The sequence below is a fragment of the Homo sapiens genome, chromosome X (genome assembly GCF_000001405.40).
Source record: "Homo sapiens chromosome X, GRCh38.p14 Primary Assembly".
Lineage (NCBI taxonomy): Eukaryota > Metazoa > Chordata > Mammalia > Primates > Hominidae > Homo > Homo sapiens.
The window spans coordinates 11,312,185-11,336,415 of NC_000023.11; the positions used below are offsets into that span (position 1 = coordinate 11,312,185).

The 24,231-nt window shown below is 38.1% G+C and overlaps 1 protein-coding gene, 1 non-coding gene and 1 pseudogene across 5 annotated transcripts in view; all 3 read right to left on the reverse strand.

Moving 5' to 3' along the window:
* Nucleotides 1–24,231, reverse strand: part of ARHGAP6 (Rho GTPase activating protein 6) — a 528,377-nt gene that overhangs the window by 174,641 nt on the left and 329,505 nt on the right. The gene's annotated exons all lie outside the window — the stretch shown is intronic.
* On the reverse strand, nucleotides 6,430–6,502 carry MIR548AX (microRNA 548ax). The gene has a single exon (NR_049865.1). It is a non-coding gene; the product is annotated as a microRNA 548ax (primary transcript).
* GOT2P7 (GOT2 pseudogene 7) lies at nucleotides 21,852–23,815 on the reverse strand (annotated as a pseudogene).

Here is a 24,231-nt window from a genome sequence, read left to right on the forward strand (position 1 = left end):
CAGACACACACAACACAAACTTCAGATTAAGTAGTTTAGTTCAGTAGAGTTGTTTCAGAGTCAGAAATGTTAATGCAATACTTTATTTTACACTATGGAGAACTGACTGAAAATTTGATTGACACTAAGGTTTTTACAAAGCAGGTCTTGAACTAAAAAGAATTAGACCAAAAAAGACAAAAATATTATCGTAACAGCCCAAGCCATTATACAAAAAAACATGGTGGTAAATCCCATTGCAAAGTTCAGGACTCTCAAATACTATCTCCAAACCAATCATCTTTGTGTTTATGGAGCTGACTATCCAGCTGCCTTCTTGACCCTTCTACCTGGTGTCTCAGGGTCATCTCAAACTTCCCTTATCCACTAATGAACTCTTGACTTTCTCTTCTGGCAAATGTTTTGGTATCCTAGCCTCCCACATCTTTAGAGGTGTTTACAAAGCATTTATCACAATGCCTGCCTGGTATGCAGCACTCGCTTAATCAGTGTTGTTGTGGATGATGATGATGATTATTATTATTATTAAATAATGATTATTTTTATCCACCCAGTTAGTTGAGCCAGGAACTAAGTCATTTTCTTTATTCTCCTCTTCACTGCATGTTCTACTTTTAATCTATTACCAACTTCTGTCAACTCTGCATCCAAAATAAATCAGGAATCTGACCCCTCCTCTCCATCTTTACTTTCATCACTCCAATTCCAGCCCCCATCACATTTCTCCCAAACAAATTTAGCAGCCTTCCAGACAACCTAGCCATCTGCTCTTGTCCTTACTCAATTTGTTCATGGGGGAAATAACAGTAATCTTCTTAAAGACAATTCTTCATTTTGAGACATACATAGAGCATATCACATATTTATTAAATCTGCTAAACAACCTTAAGAGGTAGGTACTGTTATTACTTCCATTTTACAATGAGGAAGTGAGTGAAGAGAGGTTAGAACATGCTCAACTTTACTCTGCCTATAAGAGGCAAAGCCAGAATTCCTGCCTGGGCAGTCTGGCTCGAGTTATGTGTTCAACTGCTACACAAAGTACCACACCATATCCAACCTTAAAAAAATAACAACAAACAAGCAAGCAAAGATCATCAACGGGCTTCCATTGCACTTAGAATAAAATCCATCCACATAGAACTTGCCTATGTCAAAGGGTCTGGACCAACTTCCTTAGCCTCACCTTTCATGCCTCCTCTCTTTCCTCCTGTTCTTCAAACACTCATGGACAAGGCAAGCTGGGTCCTGATTAGGGGTTTCTGTCTATGCTGTTTCCTTTGCTTGAACTGCTTTCCTAAGGCGTCAGTCACAGGGCTGGCTCCTCCTTTTTCTGGTCTCTGCTTAAATATCATCTGCTCAAAAAGCCTTCCTTGACTTCCCCAATCTGATATTAATGTTTCCTGGCTTCTTGATCTCAACACACTGTTGATTTTCTTCTTAGCACTTATCTCAACCTATAATTGATTTTACTTGTTTGTGCATTTGTCTATTGGCTGTCTCTCTTACTGGGCTGGAGGCTTCACAATTAGAAAGATTGTTTATCACTGTATTTTTATAATCTAGCATCATGCTAAGATGCTAGGTTTAGGTGCTAAGAATTTTGATAAATGATTGAAGGAAGACAAGTACGCTTTGATGATATGAAGCATCCCCACACAGACCTTAGATTCTCCAAGTGTGGGCAAAAGATCAAATACAGAATCACCTGGGGTTACTTTTTGTTAAAAGTGAGTTCCAGGAGCTCTGAGCTATTTTAAGCACTTACTTTTGAGGTTCATCTCCTTGTATTATCAAGAATTTTTACAATTTTGATTTTGACATGATTTGGCAATAAGTAATTCATCGGATTCTCGTTTGGCTGTGATTTTTTAAGTAATTATTGTGCGTGTTCAGGAATACTTGTTAAGAGAACAAAATGTACATTACGAATTGTTTTTACATGTGATGAGATTGTTAAAAATACTAGTTGACAATGAAATTGGCACTTGCTATGTTTTTAGATATATAGGTGAGTATTTACATCATTACTTTGGGAGTCAATAATTTCCTTTTCAGCTTGCAGAAATTTATATGAGCTCCTGAACAGCTTGTGGATCCTCTGCCCTGTAATCAGATAATGGTGTGGGATGGATGAAATGGACCAGCTGGAGTCCAGTCCCAAATTGATCATAACAGAACTTCTGATGTCAAGGAATCTGCATTTTAAGAAACTTTCCAAGAAACTCTTATGCAAAATAAAAATTGAAAGCTGTTTTTCTCATAGCTAGATTTATGTATGTTATTTTAGAAAAATTTGCAATAGATATCCAGTGTTCACTCTTTAAATTTGTGGTTGATTTCTGAGAAATTCAAGATAATGTCCCACAAAAAGGGAAAACATTTTGCTAAGGATAATGGCCTCCACCTCCATCCATGTCCCTGCAAAAGATATGATCTCATTCTTTTTTATGGCTGCATGCTATTCCATGGTATATATCCTTAGCAAACTAACACAGGAACAGAAAACTAAATACTGCATGTTCTCACTTATAAGTGGGAGCTAAATGATGAGAACACATGGACACATGGAGGGGAACAACACACACTGGGGACCTCTCAGAAGGTAGAGGGTGGGAGGAGGGAGAGGAACAGGAAAAATAACTAATGGGTACTAGGATTAATACCCGGGTGAGGAAATAATCTGTACAACAAAACCCCATGATACAAGTTTATCCATGTAACAAACCTGCACATGTACCCTTGAACTTAAAAGCTAAAAAAGAGAAAACATAAAAATATTGATAAGATCACCAAGTGTCCATAAATGCAAATTATCAATAATCGTTCTGGTGAAATAAATCATCTCTGAAAAATATCTTTTGTTAGCCTGCATATACAGATTGAGAGAAAGGGACAGGCATTTCTCACCCTGGAGGGGCAGGATGAACCATTTGCCCAGATGGAAAAACAAAAGCAAGGTAAGTTCCTTAGCCCATAGCTTCGCTATGTTTTAGACTAGCTGACCCCAGCCATTTTTGGCACCAGGGACCGGTTTTGTGGAAGACAACTTTTCCACAGACAGTGCGGCGGGGATGGTTTCAGCATGAAACTGTTCCACTTCAGATAATCAGGCATTAGTTAGATTCTCATAAGGAGCTTGCAACCAAGATCCCTCACCTGCGCAGTTCACAATAGAGTTAGCGCTCTTATGAGACTCTAATGAATGCCACCACTGATCTGACGGGCGGCGGAGCACAGGCAGTAATGCTCACTCCTGCTGTGCAGTCCCATTCTTAATAGGCCATGGACTGGTACTGGTCTGCGGCCCGGGGGTCGGGAACCCCTGTTTTAGATGATAAGTGGATGTTAAGAAAATTAATAATTGACGGCAGGAAGAGGCTTCCTGGCTTGCTCAAAAGACGAAGGCTGTTTTTTCTCTTTTAGGGAAAGATACCCAAATTCCAGAATTTGAAAGAGCTTAAGTTAAAAACAAAAACAAAACAACCAGCCATGTTTTTGACGTCAATTAACAAATGTGAGAATAAGCTTTGTGGATGCCACACTCTTTTGAGTGTCTATCACCTCTCTGAATGTAACATAATGTTGGAATTCACCATGGCTCTGTTCTTGAATCTCCTTTATTTTTCATCTGCAATTCCTCTTTGGTGATTTTAACCAACCTTGTATCTTTAAATGACATCTATGCACTGATAGTTACCTAGTTTATATCTCCAACTAGGACATTTTTTTCTTGAATTCCCTGAGTTCTTCAACTTCTTCTCAATATTCTTCTCTATAGTGTTCCCCATCTAAGTCAATAGCAACTCAATTTTTCCAGTAGATCAGGCCAAAACTTCCACTCTCTATCACCAATGGGTCCATTTCACAATCCATAGTCAATCTGTCAGTAAATCTTGTTGGCTGTACCTTCAAAATATGTCAGAATCTGACCTCTTCTCATAATTTCAATGGTTCCATCTTGGTCCAAGCTATCATCATCTCTCACTTGGATTGCTGAATGACTCAGTAAAGACATAGGTTCTGCAAAGCCCTTCTTTAAAGTAGTCATCTCTCCTGGTTGAAGGTAATTTCTCTTGGGAAAATCCAGATTGTCAATAAGCCACTTCCAGTCATATCCTTTTCTAGAAAGATATTAATGCAGATAACCCAGAAAAAAATACAGGTGAAGAAACACTTCCCCAAATCCCACAGAAAGGTTTGGAGAGTATGTTTATTCTTTAGCAGTTCACAGGATTTTTAAAAAATTAACAAATAAAAATTGTACATATTTATTGTGTACAAGATGATGTCCTGACATACATATACAATTGTGAAATGTCTTCATTAAGCCAATTAACATATGCATTACCTACATAGCTGTCACTTTTTGTGGTGAGAATACTTAAAATCTACTCTGTTAGTGATTTTCAAAATAAAATACATTGCTGTTAATTATAGTAACCATGTTGTACAATAGATCTCTTGAATTTATTCCTTTTGTCTAAGTAAAATATTGCATCCTTTGACCAACATCTCTCCAACCCTCAGCCCCACCCCCAGGTTCTGGAAAGCACCATTTTAGTCTCTGCATCTATGAGTTCAACTTTTTTAGATTCCACATGTAAGTGAGAAAGTGCAGCATTTGTCTTTGCTTTCTGTGCCTGGCTTATTTCATTGAACACAGTGTCCTCCAGATTCATCCATGTTGTTGCAAATAACAGGAATTTCTTCTTTTTTAGGGCTGAATAGTAATGATGCCTGAATTCCCCTCTCTTGCTAATAACAAAATAGTACTATTATATGACGGGTATTTATTGTTCTGGTTGACAGTGTATAGCATGGACATGCCACATGCATTTTGGGGCTCAGTGAGCTGATCTTGGTAATACTGTTCCCCACCCACGATTGATCTCAGAACCCAGGCCTAAAGCCTTTTGTACTATAGGCACCAGCATGTGAGGGAAATGTGGCTGGAAGCCTTTGGAAATGTTTCCTAGAATGTAAGTGAGTTATAGGCAGAGGAAACCTTTCTTCTTCTATGCCAGAGTTACTCAGCACTATTGACATTTTGGGTTGGATCATTCTCTCTGGTGGGGCTGTCCTGCACACCGAAGATGTTTAGAAGCATCCCTGGCTTTTACTCACTTGATGCCAGTAGCACCTCTCCACTTGTGACAACCAAAAATGTTTCCCGACTTTGCCAGATGTCTCCTGGGGTGGTCACCCACAGTTGAGAAACACTAGCTTAGACATCGTCATATTTATCCCCAAACTGCCACAGGTTCTGTTGCTATCAGCCTAGAGGTGACACTTAGAGGGACATAAAATGAAGAGCACTGCAGGAAAAAGGTCAAGTCACTGGATGAAACCCTACATACTTATGGATTTTGGTGACATGAGCCTCTAAAATTCCTAATTATTTAAGGTGGTTTAAATGGATTTTGCTTTTATTATAAGCCAAGGGCATCAAAGTGATCCAAGGTCCAGAATCACAGGCCACTGTACATTGCTTTCTTCCAGGGCATCATACTGCTTGGAGAAATGACACCGGCCCCACCTTAGAGCAGGATTCCATAGTACAGCTTTACATGAAGGATGGCAAGTAGAATGGCTCATTTTTCCATTTCATAATTATTGCTTATACACTGTTGTTATGGAATTATAGAATTTTAGAGCAGGAAGGAATTTTAGGGATGGAGAATTAAGCTAAAACCAATGTCTATGTTTATCTTCAAAGGAAGGCCTTCAAAAGAGGATCAAGCCCGGTGCCTCCAAATATTAGGGAAAGTGCCATTATCCACTTCAAAACACATCCTGAGCATGACAAGTCATGTTACATCTTGTGTTAAAAGCAAAAGGAAATATTTTCTTATAGCCACATACCCTTAAATATTCCCTTCTCCATAAATGGAAATTCTATTTGGCTTTAACGTCTACATCAATTATCTATTTACAGCAGACTTCCTGTCATTTCCAAAAGCAGAGTTGTCATTTAATTCTACTATCCAGCAATATTGCTTTTAATGTGAAAAATGATGAATAGATACAGCTGGCATAATTGCTGGACTTTAAGTTCATAGCATAGTGGGGAAAGGAAGAAGATAAAAAATACAATCAATTTATTTTACTGTTTTATATATATACATATAAATCTGCATTATCTTTGCTTATAACAGCAATTTGAGCTTACAACTAATGTAATCATAAATATAAAAATAAGCAAAATGAGTAAAATTAAAATCATCCATAATCCAACAATCATTGATTATGTCTTAATGAATATTATCCCCTATATTTTTTGCATATTGAAATTTTCTTCTCAAAAAGTATCATATTATTTTGCAATCTACTATATTTAAAACATCCCCTTTTATCAGATATTTAGCTGTTACTTATTCATCCCCATTGTAAACAGTGCTGCATATGAATAGTTGGCTGAAATTATTAGGTTGGTACAAAAGTAATTACGGTTTTTGCCATTACTTTCCATGGCAAAACCGCAATTACTTCTGCACCAATCTAAATAAATTATATATGCTTAGAAAGAAAAATGGAAGGATAAAACACAAATGAAGAAATTCTGAAAAATGGACCAATATGTAGGATATTGTTGGCTTCAAAATCCTGTGAGGATTCAACTGTTGATCCAGTCCCCAAAGCAATCAGATCTACCAATGGATAAGAACCAGGGCAGACAGCAGCTGCCAAGAAGACAGAGGGGAGGGAAGAGCAAACCAGTTTTGCAGTGAAGGAAACCACCCAGGTGGCAGACTTGATGGAACAAACACTTTAAGTGAACCTAATGGAAAATGGTTCAACAAATGGACCACCAGTAGATTTTCTCAGTTTATAAATGATAGACCCATTGCCTAGAGAAAAGAACAGCTTTTATTCAATCATATAATAAGTAAAAGGAAATAATTTGCTCCTCTAAAAAAGTCCTGTGATGGTAACTCCACATTTCTATATCTATATCTATATCTATATCTATGTCTATCTATATATCTCTCTCTCAAAATATCTGTATTTATATCTGTATTTGTATTCATATTTGTATTTATACCCATACCTATACTTGTACTTACATATGTATGTGTCATTGTACCCACATATCTTGCCAGCCATCCAACCATCCATCCATCTACATAGAAGTGCTTCTTAAACTGGAGTATGCATCAGAATCCTCTGGAGGGCTTGTTAAAACACAGATTACTGGGCCCCATCCCCAGAGTTTCTGATTCAGTAGGTCTTCAACAGGGCCTGAGAATTTGCATTTCTAATGTTTCAGGGTGATGCAGCTGCTGATGGTTCCGGGATTACACTTTGAGAACTGCTGCTTACACCTGTACCCCTCTCATTCTCTCTTTCTATCTCATTACCAAACTCTAATTTAATGAACATACAGTTACCCGCACATATTTTGATTCATTATCAATTGTCAATATACATCACAGTGTTAAATACTACACAAAATAGATATTATGCTGATTTCAAATTTCTCTCCCCTTAATTTAATAATAAAATTATAAGATACAAAAATTATTACCATGTATATTTTTCCTCCCAGGAGAATACTTAAATCGTGGTACATTTCTTGCTTTTACTTGGTTTTCACTGCCTTTGGCTTCTAACTTGATGTATTTACATCTTAATGGTTCAGATTTATTTTCCAAACAGTGAGATGAAACAGGGACAACTCAAAGGCAGCTTCATTTTGAAATTGGCCAGGCTTTTGTAAACAAACCCTTGACAGAGCAATTTCTAATTCTCTAAACAGCTGGGGGGGAAAATATCACACAGAAAAGCAGATGTTATTCGCGTAACTTCTTTTTTTCAGGTCTACAATCATCATCTACAGCACCGGATCCACCATATCACTTCAAGTAAATTTTGACTTTGCTAGGTTTCAACCACATTACTCACATTGGAGATGTGAGTCAAAGAATAAAGCTTCTCAGAGACAGCTCTGTGGATGCCTCTTCATGTTAGGTTGACAGCTTTTGATTTAAGCGTTCTGTTAGCTCATGACTGCAGCATGCAATAGGAACACAGTTCCTCAGATGCCAACCCTAACCTAAATAAAAGCTAGACCGGCATCTCCTCAGGGTCAAGTTAAAGAATATGGGCTGTGCTGTCTCAGACCTCAGCGGCTACCAATTAGTGGGAGACAAGACATGTATAAAAGGAAATTTAATTGGTAATTTTAATGGATAAACAACTGCAGGGTTGAGAGAAAGAGGTCACTTGTGCTGGTGGAGTTGGGGAAAGTTTCATATTCCATGCATTCAGATCTTGAGAAACAAAGGTTATATCTCCAGAAAGCAAAAGGCGGACATTGAAAAGGGAAGCAAATCTTTACAGATGAAGTCACAGCAAAGACAATCTGGAGCCAGGAATTAACGTGTGACAAGAGAGGGAATAATCCCAGGGATGATGAATTTTACTACTGAAATGATTATAAATTACAGCCACCTACAACCTATTGTGAATGGCTTTTATGGTATCAGAACAGAATAGTTAAAGGAATAGGAAAAAATCTTGTGCCCTAATGAAGAAAAGGGAGATGTGTGTTTTGCTCAATTCAAAGAAAATATCTCTTTACACACACACACACACACACACACACACACACACACACACACACAGGTGTATAATATACACACACACACATATATAAACGCAAACACATATATGTGTATATATATACACATACACCTACATATACACACATGCATACACACATGCATACACACACTCAGACCTTATGGAATAATTCTAATTATATATAAGGTCTCCTTGTTCCCATTAAACATCCAAAATGCCCCTAGTTGCAAATACTTCAGCAAATAGTCCCTGAATAAAAGATATAGTCAGCCAACATTGAAATAAAGCTGTTACTACAAAGAAAAATATTTTGCAAAAGAGACAGCTCATAGACTGCTACAATACAAAAGTCTGCATTTTAAGAGCCATAACTGTATATGGATGTAAGCGGTGTTTTTAATGTTAAATACATGTTCAATATTTATTACTTTTTGTAAATTGTGCCATGAAGGAAATTTACTGGAAGCAACAAAATAGAAGAAATGGTAACAATTTCTAAGTGTTTTCTAATGTAACAATTTGGCCTGTAGTTCTAATTTATTTAAAAATTTGTTCAATTGGGCACAAATTTAGTTGCACAGTGGTATTTTGATGTAAAAGTTAGTATAAAAAGCAGGAAAAGTGAACATTTTTCAAAATAAGTACCTTTTCTAAAAATAGTAATATTTTGAATATAAAAATAGTGCAATAAATGCTACTCACAAGTAACTTCTCAATAAAATGAATGATTGAATAAAATAATACATCTAAATTTGCTGGCTCTCAGATCTGAGCTCCCAGAACTTCAACAGCCACACACATATACGCACACATTTTCAAATTCAATGTTATCCTATTAAAAATAAGCCTGTGTTAAAAGAAGTTGTAACTGTCCATCACACCAAAAATGCATAGTTTAGCCACAGCCATTATAGCAATTTTCATATTATTCAAAAAGAAAAGATTCTAAAGAGTACAAATAAAGCACAAAGCAGATGTTCAAAACAAGTCTGCATCAAAAATTCAAAAACATTTGCCACAGGAATGGCGCACTTTCATCATTAATATACACCTACTATGTACCCACAAACATTAAAAATTAAAACAAATTAAAAATAAAAAAGAAACGGATCATAAATATTACAGCTGCCAGTTTCCTGGTGAGAAATCTTTGTGAAGAAATTGCAGTTAAAGTGGCGCTCTGGAAAATAAGATAAAATGACAATTAAGAGATTATCTTTTCTTTCTGCTGTGACGTGACATATGTGAGTAAGACTGTTGGCATACCCACAGATACAGTGATGCAAGTTAACATTTGCAAAATGTCCCAAATCTGAAGAACATCTCAAGAAAATCACTGGAGAATAAAGAAAACATTTTATTGATCATCTCTACAGTACAGAGTTTCTCAATCTTGGCATTCTTGCTATTTGGGCGAGATCACTTGTTTTTGTGGTGGGTGTTGCTGTCCTCTAAACTGTGGGATGTTTAGCAGCATCCTTGGCCAGTAGCAAATCACCCCTCCCAAATGTGACCACAAAAGTCTCCAGACATTGGCAAATGTGTCCTGGGGGGAGGTACAAAATTTCCCCAGTGAAAAACACTGATAGCATATTTTTCTTTTTTGAGACAGAGTTTCACTCTTGTTGTCCAGGCTGGAGTGCAATGGCATGACCTCAGCTCACTGCAACCTCTGCCTCCCAGGTTCAAGCAATTCTCCTGCCTCAGCCTCCCAAGTAGCTGGGATTATAGGCATGCACCACCATGCCTGGCTAATTTTTTATATTTTTAGTAGAGACGGGGTTTCACCATGTTGGCCAGGCTGGTTTTGAACTCCTGACCTCAGGTGATCCACCTGCCTTGGCCTTCCAAGATAGCATACATTCACATAAACTTATTTGATCAATTGATGTGGTAAATAGGATAAAATTGTCCACAATGTTATATTCATACAGAACTCATTCTGTGAATTTTGCCTAAGTGTTGTATGTACACATTTTTCATATTTAAGCACAATAGATTGACAAATCTGGAGTGACTATTTCTTAGGTATAAACATTTTTAAACTCTACTAGAATGCTTCTGCTGATTATATTAAAATTTGAAGGATTCTCACCCAGAAGTTGTGATTTGGGGTTTAACCCAAAATGTTATCACTGCTTTACATGATGTAACTTATATTATATTTTGGATAAAGGAAAACAATCTGTTTCTGCTGTTTGAATAGAAGCTCCAAGTAATATTGCTAAGCATAGTATACCCTGAATTCTGAAGGTTTTGATATTAGTTATCAGAAATACCTTAGATGAATGTGAATGGTTTGTAACAATTATTCAGGAATGAGCTGGAAAAACTTCTCCCTGGACAGAACTGGCAATAATGTGGAATATTACAGAAATACTTAATTATAAAAACCATACAAGTCATACTTTTGTCCTTAAAACTTATCTTAGTCAAACACGCTAGTAAAATGAACAAAGAGAAAGTATGAGGGGACTTCAAAAAGTTCATAGAAAATATGCATTATGAAAGAACTATACAAAAATTTCAAATGTATATTACACCAAAATAAATTCTTACTAACTTGTTATAACCTGCCTTAACAAGATCTAGTTTGAGGCACTAAGAAAGATAAGACATCAGTTTGAAAAGAGCCCCTGTCAGGGAAACATGAATTCTGCTAAAATTGAAGCAAGAACAAACATCAAATTTATGGTGAAGATTGGGTGGAAGAATGGTGAAATCACTGATGCTTTATTAAAAGTTTATGAGGACAGTCCCCCAAAGATATCAACAGTTTGCAAATGAAAAACTCATTTTAAGAAGTGATGAGGGCTGAGTGTGGTGGCTCACGCCTGTAATCCCAGCACTTTGGGATGCTGAGGTGCACAGATCACCTGAGGTCAGAAGTTTGAGGCCAGCCTGGCCAACATGGTGAAACCCTGTCTCTACTAAAAATACAAAAATTAGCTGGGCTTGGTGGTGGGCAGCTGTAATCCCAGCTACTCAGGAGGCTGAGGCAGGAGAATTGCTTGAACCCGGGAGGCAGAGGTTGCAGTGAGCCGAGATCGCACCATTGCCCTCCAGTCTGGTGACAAGAGTGAAAACCCCCATTTCAAAAAAAAAAAAAAAAAAAAAGAAAAAAGAAGAAGGGATGATATTGAAGATGAAGCCCACAGCAGCAGGCCATCCATATCAATTTGTGAGGAAAAAAATTCATCTTGTTCATGCTCTAATCGAAGAGGACCAATGATTAACAGCAGAAACAATAGCCAACACCATAGACATCTCAATTGGTTCAGCTTACACAATTCTGACTGAAAAATTAAAGTCAAGCAAACTTTACGCCCTAAAGTTACCAAAACCATTGCACTTAGATCAGCTGCAGACAAGAGCAGAGCTTTTGAAGGAAATTTTTCACAAGTGGGACCAAGATCCTGAAGCATTTCTTCAAAGAATTGTAACAGGAAATAAAACATGGCTTTCCCAGTACCATCCTGAAGACAAAGCACAATCAAAGCAGTGGCTACCAAGAGGAAGTGGTCCAGTCAAAGTAAAAGCAGACTGGTCAAGAGCAAAGGTCATGGCAACAGCGTTTTGGGATGCTCAAGGCATTTTGTTTGTTGACTTTTTAGAGGGCCAAAACTCAATTAACATCTGTTTACTATGAGAGTATTTTGAGAAAGTTAGCCAAAGCTTTAGCAGAAAAATGACTACAACAATGCTCCTGGATCACTCCTCTTATCAAACAAGGGCAATTTTGTGAGAGTCTCTATGGGAAATTACTAAGCACTCACCTTCCAGTCCTGATTTGGCTCCTTCTGACTTCTTTTTGCTTACTAATCTTAAAAAAAAAAAAAATCTAAAGGGCACCCATTTGTCTTCAGTTAATAAAATAAAAAAGATTGCAATGACATGGTAAAATTCCCAGGACCCTTAGTTCTTTAGAGATGGACTAAAATGGCGGGTATCATTGATCAAAAAAGTGTCTTGAGCTTGATGCTGAGAAAGTTTCTATTTATTATTTCTTATCTTTTCATTTAATTTGTCCCATGAACTTTTTGAAGTGCTCTCATATATGCAGCACAAAGTAGTGGTTGGTTTCACTTAAAATTCTTTTGAGACGGAGTCTTGCTCTGTCGCCCAGGCCGGACTGCGGACTGCAGTGGCGCAATCTCGACTCACTGCAAGCTCCGCTTCCCGGGTTCACGCCATTCTCCTGCCTCAGCCTCCCGAGTAGCTGGGACTACAGGCGCCCGCCACCGCGCCCGGCTAATTTTTTGTATTTTTAGTAGAGACGGGGTTTCACCTTGTTAGCCAGGATGGTCTCGATCTCCTGACCTCATGATCCACCCGCCTCGGCCTCCCAAAGTGCTGGGATTACAGGCGTGAGCCACACTTAAAATTCTTTAGTCTGATAAATGTTCCAAATAAGAAAAATAAGAAAATGTTTCTACTAATTCTGTTTAAAGTGTGTGACTGCATTGTTTAATGATAATAAATCTAGAGATCAAAATGCTTATCAATCACTATTAAAATTATAATGTATTCACTGACAATACAGGAATTACTCAAATTTACCAAGAAATGTGGGAAATTTTTAAGAATAATAAGCATATCAAGTGGGTGCAACATGCTTACTTCAATAATACAGGACAAAATATGAAAGCTATTATTTTTTTCTGAATTGTTCATTTCTTTGTATAATTTTCTAATGAAGATTATTCATTTACCACTAAATATAATCAAATTATTGTATCATAATTAAATGCACAAATGAGAAAAAACACCTTTGTTAGTCTCTACATACAAATTTTTCTTTCAGAAAATGTTGTCACTGTTATTCACATTCCTACACAGATAACATCTGAAACCTGTATTTTGGTTTCTGTAATTATTATTTATTATTGAAGTGAAAATTATCTAAAATATACCTCATTTGAAAGAGAAAAACATCCTAGACCAAACTTATTTTTAAAAGTAGTTATGCTATTTTGCTAGAAATATGCTAATTTGCTAGATTAGTAGCTCTCAACTGAGGATGACTTCACACCCAATAAGACATTTAGGGATGTCTGGAAACATTTTTGGTTGTCTCAACTGAGGGGAAGGTGCTACTGGCATCTAGCGGCTAGAAATCAGGCATCCTGCTCAACATTCTGCAATGCACAGGACAGCCCCTCACAAAAAAGAATGATCTGCCCCCAAATGTCAATAGAGCTGAGGTTTAGAAACCCTGCTACACATAAAATTGTTTCCCAGTTTAATCTGTGCAACAAGGCAAGAAGCACGCAATTCAAAATGGTGTGAAGAGAATCCCTGTTTAGAGAGTATATAATGTTTTACCAAAGGAATTTTTCTTTTTCTTTCTTTCTTTCTTTCTTTTTTTTTTTTTTGAGATGGAGTTTCGCTTTTGTTGCCCAGGCTGGAGTGCAATGGCATGATCTCGGCTCACTGCAACCTCCGCCTCCTGGGTTCAACCAATTCTCCTGCCTCAGCCTCCCAAGTAGCTGGGATTACAGGCATGCACCACCACGCCCAGCTAATTTTGTAGTTTTAGTAGAAAAAGGATTTCTCCATGTTGGTCAGGCTGGTCTTGAACTCCCGATCTCAGGTGATCCACCCGCCTTGGCCTCCCAAAGTGCTGGGATTACAGGCGTGAGCCATCGCGCCCAGCTGGGATTTTTTTTTTTTCCTATGGAAAGCGGAATTTAAATTATCCCTTCTTGCTATTGTTGGCACCTCACAAAGCAGGAAACACAGTTGAAGGTTGAGGGGATCATGTACTTTGATATTGACTCAAAGTAATGCCTTCACTATAAAACAGGAATCACTTGACATGCTAAGAAAAACCCATCGTAGAAATCAATATAACTAAAGCTTGAATGAATCTGAGTAACTCTTTTTCCCTCGATGTCAAAAGTAAGTGGTAGCCTGTATTGCTTAGGAGGCACTATTAAAAAACAAACTTTTAACAGCCTTAAGTAAACGTTTTCATTTTCCATAAAACTAAATGATGGCACAGTAATATGATTGCTTACAGCTGCAAATGCCTCATCATGAACTAAACACTTGTTAAACTTTGAGTAAAATTTTTCTTCAATGGCTTACAGTAAAATAAAAGCATTTTTAAAAATTATTTCATTAAATAATGCCATGGCAGACCGCTTAGTTAAATAATGTCATAGACTTGACCCAATCATCCACTGATTTCATGATAAGTACACATTAAATCTAAAAAAAACCCCTACATCCCTAAATACAAATGACTTTATAATTTTACATTAGGGAGTAGCACTGTATAAGTTACTAATGTTTTGTCCCACCCAAAGGAAGGAAAAATAGAAAACTTCATGCTAGGAAGGAAAAAAAAGTTTCCTATGTGTTTAATTTTCCTAAATGTCCAAGATATTCTTTAGATTACATGTCATCAACACTTCAGGAGAAAGGTGTCAAGTTTCTGAATGGGGTAGTAAAGAGAAGTTGAGGTAAGAAAAGGACATCTGACATTCATTCCTGCTAAGAAAGAAAAGAAAATCTTGCTCACACATTTCGTTTTAAAGACTTGTAAGGGAAAAGTTTGTCTAAAATTTCAAATAATACAAAACAAAACATATTCGTCATTCACTTTTTAGTATGCATTACTTCAATCAGATTGTTTTGTTCTAAGGCCAAACTAAATTCAGCCCTTTAAAGATTGGAAAATATTTGATGTTGCTGGATGTTTTGCAAAGTATCAAATAATTTTGGAATGTTGAACACCTATGGGAAGGGCATACTAAGTGAGTACCATAATCCAGAGGGATGTTGTCAAAGATAGGTGAGTAAAGAGGCATTTGAATACCAGCAATAAGCCAAAAAATGTCACTCCTCCTAAACACAGATATTATGGGTTCATTTAGTGACTATTACCATGTCCTCTATTGGTGCCAGGGATGTAGGGGCTCAGGTAAAAAGATATCAAAAAGTCAGGTCTGAGCCTGACTTCACAATGGTACCTAGGAATTTGGGGGCAATCATAACCTGCTTTTGAGTATAATCGTGTGCTACAGAGGAATGTAGATTAGATTTATCAAAACAAAAGTCCTGGTTATTCATTTACAACAGGCTTTGTGACCACAGAAGTTATCCCAAGTCTTTGATTATTCTACACCATTACAAGATACTTTACAGGGTTTTAAAGGTACTTTACAGGTACTTTACAGGTACTTTACAGGCCAAAAAGCATCAACAAAGACATTGCTGATTTAGTCAGCATCTGGCCTGCTTCTCTGACATGCATTAATATGGAACCCTTTCAAACCATATTCAGTGATAGTTCATATTGAATCCTTCACATTACAAGATAATCACTTTTGTGGTAAATTATTTTGTTTTGGTATTAGATTGGTGTTAATTTTTCTCATTTCATCGTGAAGGAAGGTAAAATGTTGTCTAAAGTCATTTCTGAACTTTGCACATACATCTCCAAACATCTGAGCATTATTATTCTGTACAGGAGATACAGTTATGGTATAGGAAGGTACACCAGTGACTAGTGGACCAGCATAGGGCTGGAGAGGGTAGGGAACATTAATGAAGTCATGCTGAAGTCCAGATGGGGGAGCCAGCCTCCGATAGATTCTAATTCAGATGCAGCATTTATTGAGTAATTTGGGAGCGAGTTACCTACATGGCTCACTTTTAAAATGGGGATAAAAATCTCACTCTACTAGGATTTTTGTGAAGTTGACAAAGATTCTATGTGAATGCATGATGAGTTCTTAGAAACCAGTAACAGTTAACTGAATTCAGTGCCTGACCACCACCACTCTTTTCTGTCACGTCTCAGGGTACTCTGCCACACTGGCTAAAATCCAAAGGTTTCCTACCAATTCTGTCAAGGATTAATGATGTACAAGTGTCTGCCCTTGCAGAACTTCTAGTCTATCCTCATAGTTGTTGAGAATTTCTGGGAAAATCTTTGTTTCTGCAGCTTGTTTGAGGTATTTTATTTTTTTCACCACCAAAAACTTTTCAGTAAAACCTATTTCTGAGTGTGGAGATATCTTCGTCTCCCAAAGTTGCTAAAGGGCACCTGAAGCCTTGATGTACAAAAATTCTAATTTCAATTTAATTTTCAACACATTCAATCCAAAGACTATTAACTCATGTAGCTAGATCACTCTTCAGACATAATAACTGAATGTTCTAATCAAAATCTCCCAGAGTTACAAAAAAATCTAATTCTGCAAAAGACAATCAATGTAATAATTACAGAGGTATTATGGTGACTCATTAGAAAAGGCAAGTGTTAGAAAGGAGCTTTTTCTGTAAATAGCAGCCCTATCATCTTTGCAATTCGACTAATCCCATTACACCTACACAAGAACGAATTTCAAACTTTAATAATAAATTTCATGAAGGTTACCGAGCCCAGGCAATGTTGGCACCAGAGTTATGAGATCATTATGGGAAGTTCGTGAACCTGGTGCTAGAGAGATGATTCATCAGCTCTCTGTAAGATGGTAAAGATTTTATGGATCAACATGGGAGTAGTCATTTTTCAATATTTCAAAAGCCTGGCTTGGGTATTCAACAGTTTGACATACTTAGCTGTAGCAGCAGCCACAGTTTGTTTAGTCAGGGGCAACAGGAAAGAGTGATAAATTAGAAAACGTCAAGCCATTCTTTCCCTCACCTGCCTGACTTTAAGTAATTAATGACAGCTGTTTTAATGAATTGATTAGTTTAATAATTGAAAAATGCAAGACACTACCTTTATTTCTGTTATTTCTCCCATCTCCTTCTAACAAGATGTTCAAGAATTGTATCTCTGTTAAAGTACAATCACGTGTCAATGATGAGGATATATCCTGAGAAAACTGTCATTGTGAACATCATAGAGTGTATTTATACAAACACCTAAGCATTATCATACAGTGTGGCAGACATACAAAGAGTTACATACAAAAAGGTACAGAAAGGCTTACTAGTGACCTAGTGGACCACGAAGTGAACATCATAGCATGTACTTACACAAACCTACTACACACCTAGGCTAGATGGTACAGCCTATTGCTCCTGTAATACAGACCTGTACAGCATGTTACTATACTGAATACTGTAGGTAAGTGTAACACAATAGTATTTGTGTATCTAAACATATCTAAACATAGAAAGGTAGAGTAACAATATGGTATTATAATCTTATGAGACCACTGTTGTCTATGTGGTCCATTATTGACAGAAACATCCTCATTTGTAACATGACTGCATATTCGCAAGTGGATTCCAGCCACCATTTTACAATAACAACAACAACTACATGCACAACAGCAAAAGCTAACAATTTTTTAGCACTGACTACATCCCAGCTACTGTTATAAGCACATCTCAAGGTGTTCCACCAAGCTGGTGAGGCTGGGGGATGTCAGCAATGGGGTTAAAGGGTGCAAAGCCTCAGAAACGAGGAAGACATTTGAGTTTTTTTTGAGATCTGCTGCACAGCATGTTGAATATAGCTAATAACTGAGTACCATACATTTCATAATTACAGAGAGTAAATTTCAAATGTTCTAATCACAAAAAGATTAAATATTTGGGATGTATATGTTAATCAGCTCGATTTAATCATTCCACATTGTATTCAAAATTCATAACATCACTTTTCACCAAATAAATACAATTATAATTTATTAATATATAATTTTAAAAATTCTGAGAGCCCACTAGATTTCTCAAGGGTTAACGAGATGCATGTGGGTCTTAGAACGCCAGGAAGCATAGCAACTATCTCCTTGGCGTCTCTGAGGAGGATGGTCTTGAAAACCAGATAAACACAATCTTTTACACATCCCGCAAATATTAACTGAGGGCTTCGTTTGTGCCAGGCATAGAGCTCTATGCTCTAGATGTGTTTACTCATCTAATCATCACAACACCACCATTGCTCCCATTTCACAGATATTTAATAGAACAGTGGAGAAACTTGCTCATAGACCCACGGTAAGAAGGTGGCAGAGTCAAAATGCAGAGAATAGATTTAGCAAATCAATTGGAGTCACCCAGTGAATGGTGTCATCATCTCAGCACCCAACTGGAAAGCTGCAGGATCCCTCTCTTCCTTTCCTCTCTATTCTCATGGATGTTAGAATAGTGCCTGGCACATGTTCAGCATGTTAGAAGAATTTTGTTGGGGCTCAGAAAACAGTATCTCAAAATGAAGACTGCTGCTGAGCAGCTTCAGAAGCAAAAGTTTCTCCTGACCTTCTCCTGTCCTCCTCTCAGTCCCATTTTGCCCTAAGGATAGCCATGGAAACTAGAATCCCTTTTCCCCAAGATAGATCATACAAATCAGAACCCCTTTTCCTGAAAGTCAGTCATAAAACCTAAAAATATTCTACGTAAAAACTGGCCATGAAGAAATGATCTGACCTAACTGGTTTGACTGTAGATCCTAAGACTCCTGTTCCAGACAGGGTCCTCTCTCACATCAAGAAGGAAGAAATGCTTCTCAGAGAGGCCAAGAATAATCTAGATGGACAGGCCTTACTGGGTTTCCCCTACTCAGTCCATTAGCATTTAAATCAGACCCTTTCTGTCCAATCACATTTCTACATGGCTGTCCACATATTGTTGAACCTAAGCATAAAAATGGACAACTGTCCATTTTCCCCTGTATGTTAGGTATTCATTCCGAAGGTTTCTGTGTATACAAGTTAAATAAACGTGTATGCCTTTTCTTCTGTTAATCAATCTGCCTCATGCCAGTATATTTTCAGTGACCCTTTAGAGCGCAAAGGGGAAGTTTCTTCTTGACTCCCTTAGAGTTAGTAAATGAAATAGGTAAAAGACATGAGCCAACTGCTCCCACTAAATGAGTAAAACCATGCTTAAGATAGGCAGAATAAACACAAGCCCCTGTAAGCTGCAAAGTGAAGGCATTTAGTCAGGCCCACTAAACAAATTCTCTATGTGAATTCAAATGCTATAGATATGTTACTGATTTACTGTGTTATTCTTCTTTATTGGTTTTGGAGGTCTGAGACCATCACAAAGAGGCTCTTGTGGTCTATTCTTGGCATCTCACAACATCTCACAATGTTGTCATGGGTAAGATAACTGATAACTGTTTGTTGATTAGACTTTCCTGGGCAAATATAACTGAATACAGAGAAATCATAGACATAACTGGCTATGCTTACTTTAAAACTGTGAAGCTCTGTATAAACAACTAACAAAATGGGGCATATTGCTAAATCAATGAGAGCAAAGTACCCAAGTCCAAGGCTATTTTCAAATGATACGTTTACCTCCTCACACTAATCTATTCATTTTCATTCTTTGATTGGATTTTAAAGGTTTAGCTCAAGTGTGGTTCTCAAAAAAACTAGACATATTACTTCCACCTAGTGACCCTCTTGCCGCTATATTTTTCCCACCATTTTCATGATCAAGCTACTCTTAGATCCATCCCCTAGAAATATGCTTTCTCTGAATAATCAAATTATTCAATCCTTTTTTGTAGATTCTGCTCAGGGCTTCCCTATGACGTCTGGCTTGCTCTGGTATTTTGGGTGCTGATGAATCTTAGAGATATACACATATATTCTCATTAATTTGCAACTTTTTTCTTGATGCAAACAAACACAAAGCAATCAAAACAAAAATGTTCTAGAGGACACATACATTCCCTTATCCACAGTGCAGGGCCACAGGGTACAGACAGCAGAAAGTCATGTGTTTTGGCTTGCTGGTACTACCAGAGATCTTCATCCCTATGCTTTGTGAAGTGAATACATCAAAGTGCCTCTCTTCCAAGATGGTTTGACTCAAGTTCATGTTGATGAATGCATTTTAGACTAAACTTTTTTATTTTGAGATAATTTTAGATTCACATTCATTTGTAAGAAATAATATAGAGCCATCTCCTATACTCTTCTCCCAGCTTCCCCCAGTTGTAACATCTTTCATGACTATAGTATAATGTCACAGCCAGGAAACTGACATTGATTCAACTATCTTATTTAGAATTCACAAGTTTTACATGTTATCATTTGTGTGTGAATGTGTGTATGTGTGTGTATTTAGTTATATGCAATTTTATCACATATGTATCTTTGTGTGACAACCACAATAGTCAGGGCACAGAACAGTTTCATTGCCACAAGGATTCCTCTTGCTACCCCTTTACAGCTATTTGCACCTCCCTCTCAACTCATCATCTTCTTAAATCTAGCAACCACTAATCTGCTTTCCATATTCAATGAAGGGAGGATGTCCAACTGGGCAGAGGCAACATCCAGCAGGAGACAATTACACAATCATCGAAGAAGATGCTCAGATAAATTGCAGTTACCTTCTCCACTGAGAACAGTAAGGCTATGGCGTCATTAGAAAATTATGTTCTTTATTCTTAAATAAATCCAAGTAGGATGGGGCTTGATATACTTTGGCTGTGTTCCCACCCAAATCTCAGCTTGAATTATAGTTCCCATAATCCCCACATGTCATGGGAGGGACCCGGTGGGAGGTAACTGAGTCAATGGGATGGTTACCCTCATGTTGTTCTCGTGATAGTGAGTTCTCACGAGATCTGATGGTTTTATAAGGGGCTTTTGCCCCTTTTGCTCAGCAAGTCTTCTTGCTCCTGCCATGTGAAGAAGGACTTGTTTACTTCCCCTTCCACCATGATTGTAAGTTTCCTGAGGCCTCCCCAACCATGCTGAACCATGAGTCAATTAAACCTCTTTCCTTTATAAATTACCCAGTCTCCAGTATGCCTTTATTAGCAGCACGAAAATGGACTAATACAGGGTAGATGGTCAATCCAGCAGTAGAATGGGATGAAAATCTAGGATAGTTAAAAATCTTTGTGCATAAGGAAAAGAATAGCATGAAAAAGGAGAAGAGATAGCCTTTTCTTTTTCTTAAATGAGAGGAAAAAGCACCTTTTATTTTCCTTGCTGCAGTGGCAGCAAACTCATTGGTTTTCATAAAACACAACTTCTGCGATATGGTCTGTTGATAAGGTTGCTCCATCATGGGAGGACAAACTTGAGGCTGACTGTTAATGACAGAACTAGGTCTTCTCTCAAAGCCTCTAATGTGTGCTATTTCTCATGAAGAACCCCTGACACCGTAAGATGCTTCAGTTAAAGCTTCTGAAATATTGCAGTGGCATAATTGACAAGTTTTTTGGTGCTATGAGTTTCTCACACATGTAAACCCTTTCGGAAAAGTTGGAGATAAAAAGATGGGGGAGAGTTTGGTTTAGAGTCACAAAGTTCCAGATACCAGCCACAGATGCCTCTGCCCAATGTCGCTACATGTTCTTTTCTGAGAAATGCATTCAATCACTCAGTATTACGCACTGTGGTTAAAAAAAAAAAAAAAGATCTACTCACCACCATCTACCCTCCCTTATCCTCCATGTGAAGCTCACGGTAGCAGCAGCTGAAGACAGAAAAGTTGTACCTGTTCCCTCACACCAGGGACATTACTTGGTGACCTGGTGAATGGCATAGGCAAGATTACCCGTGTTGCTGGAGGTGATCCCTGCCACAGGGATGCAGTCATCCTTTGTCATACAGATGGAAAACCCCTTGGTTAGCTTCTCCACCTGTTCAGGCTTTAGCCTTGTGAAACAAAGCATGCCAATTTAGTCAGTCATGTGTTGTCAGATGTGTGAGGAACTCTCCTTACTGCAGTTGGAGATCAGCTGAGTCTGCATGCTAGTAATGCAGTTGGCCATGATTTTCACTTCTTGCAACCATTATTTTCACAAACCCAGGCTGTTCAGAATGGTAGAGGCAATACAGGCCCCACTGAGAGAAGGGTTGGAATACATGGGATGGATCAGGATCTTCAACTGACTCCCCTCTTTTGGTTTCATTCACTGTCTTTGCAGATCACAGTGAAGGCTCTCATACACTGACCATATAAAGCCCATGTTCTTGGCACATGATTGACAGAGACAAACATTAATGCTCTGTTCAATGAAGTTGCACACAGCCCAGGCATCCTTGTTACCATCACCACTGGCAAAGCCTTGGTAGGCCATATCAAAGAACGCAGTTTCTTTTTCTTTGCCACTATTATTATTTCCTTTCACTGCTTTGCATGAGGGTCCCAGGCATGCAGGAGAAGAGCACTTTGCTCTGGTATTTTTGAAATGTCCTCCATAGCACCCGTGAAGTCAAAACTGCAAGTCTTGGGGTTATAGAATTGATAATCTTGTAGTTGCATGCCAGCTACCCTGAAGATAGGTGTGTGATTTCCCCAGGGTGGTTTGGACAGAGACATCTCTGTCTTCAAAAACTTTAAAAATCTTTGCACAAAACTGGCTCCAACCCTTAAACCCCAGTTCCAGAAATGATCCACACAGTGACAGACTGGCCACTTTTCAACACTTTGCTCTTCTCACCCAAGGCTGGTTCTGCAGATGCCTTGGAAAATTCAGCTTGTCCCCAAATGGGCAGGTATTCCTTGTCTAAATTTTTTTATTATATTTTAAGTTCTGGGGTACATGTGCAAAATGTGCAGTTTTGTTACATGGATATACACATGCCATAGTGGTTTTCTGTACCCATCAACTCGTCACCTACATTAGGTATTTCTCCTAATGTTTTCTCTCCCCTAGCCCCCAACCCCGTGACAGGCCCCGGTGTGTAATATTCCCCTCCCTATGTCCATGTGTTCTCATTGTTAAACTCCCACTTATGAGTGAGAACATGCGCTGTTTGGTTTTCTGTTCTTGTGATAGTTTGCTGAGAATGATGGTTTCCAGCTTCATCCATGTCCCTGCAAAGGACATGAACTCACCCTTTTTTATGGCTGCATAGTATCCCATGGTGTATATGTGCCACATTTTCTTTATCCAGTCTATTATTGATGGACATCTGGGTTGGTTCCAAGTCTTTGCTGTTGTCTAAATTTTTTATGGTAATCTAACTGGGTCTCTTATTGTCCCGGTAGGCACCAACTCCCAGATTCATCTTTTTGCTGTTGATTTCCCTCTTAAAGGCTTTGGTGGTTCCCAGGATGGGATCTGGAGGTCTCATTTCCACATGGGCCCACAAGGAGCTGGCTCTGGCAGAGGCCATGGTGGGGAGGCCTAGGTAAAAGGTGGCAGCGATCCCCTAGAGGACACGGCTGGAGTGGAGCAGGGCCGGGTCATGGTGGACCTTGAGAGTGCAGTGGGTAGGCACAGGACAAAGTAGAAGGCAAGAAGGTGCAGAACCAGGGGGCATGGACTCCTGCTGAAGGTCTTGTTTTGTATTAGAAGACCTCCACAGTGGAGTGAAAAATGAAGTCACTTCTCTGTATATTTTGAATTAAAGCTTGCACAGGTGTTTCAGCCTGCTAAATAGTTCAACCTGGACTATTTCAGCTCTGAATTATTCAAATAATTATTTTTAAAATATTTTAAATTTAATTTAGCACACAGAGAATGCCTCTGTGTGAAGTAAGTGGTGGCAATTTAAAATAACTAATGATCATAATTATTGGAATCTAGTCTCCTGGGCATTTTCTACTTCATAATTTACAGGGAGCCTATGAGAGTTCAAACACACTGTATTTTCGCCAAAGGAGTCTCATGCTTTGTCTGCATTTTATGGCTTCCTTTGCACCTGGAGCAGCTATTTTAGGACTGTCTAGACAATCACCCCAGCTTTAAAGGTC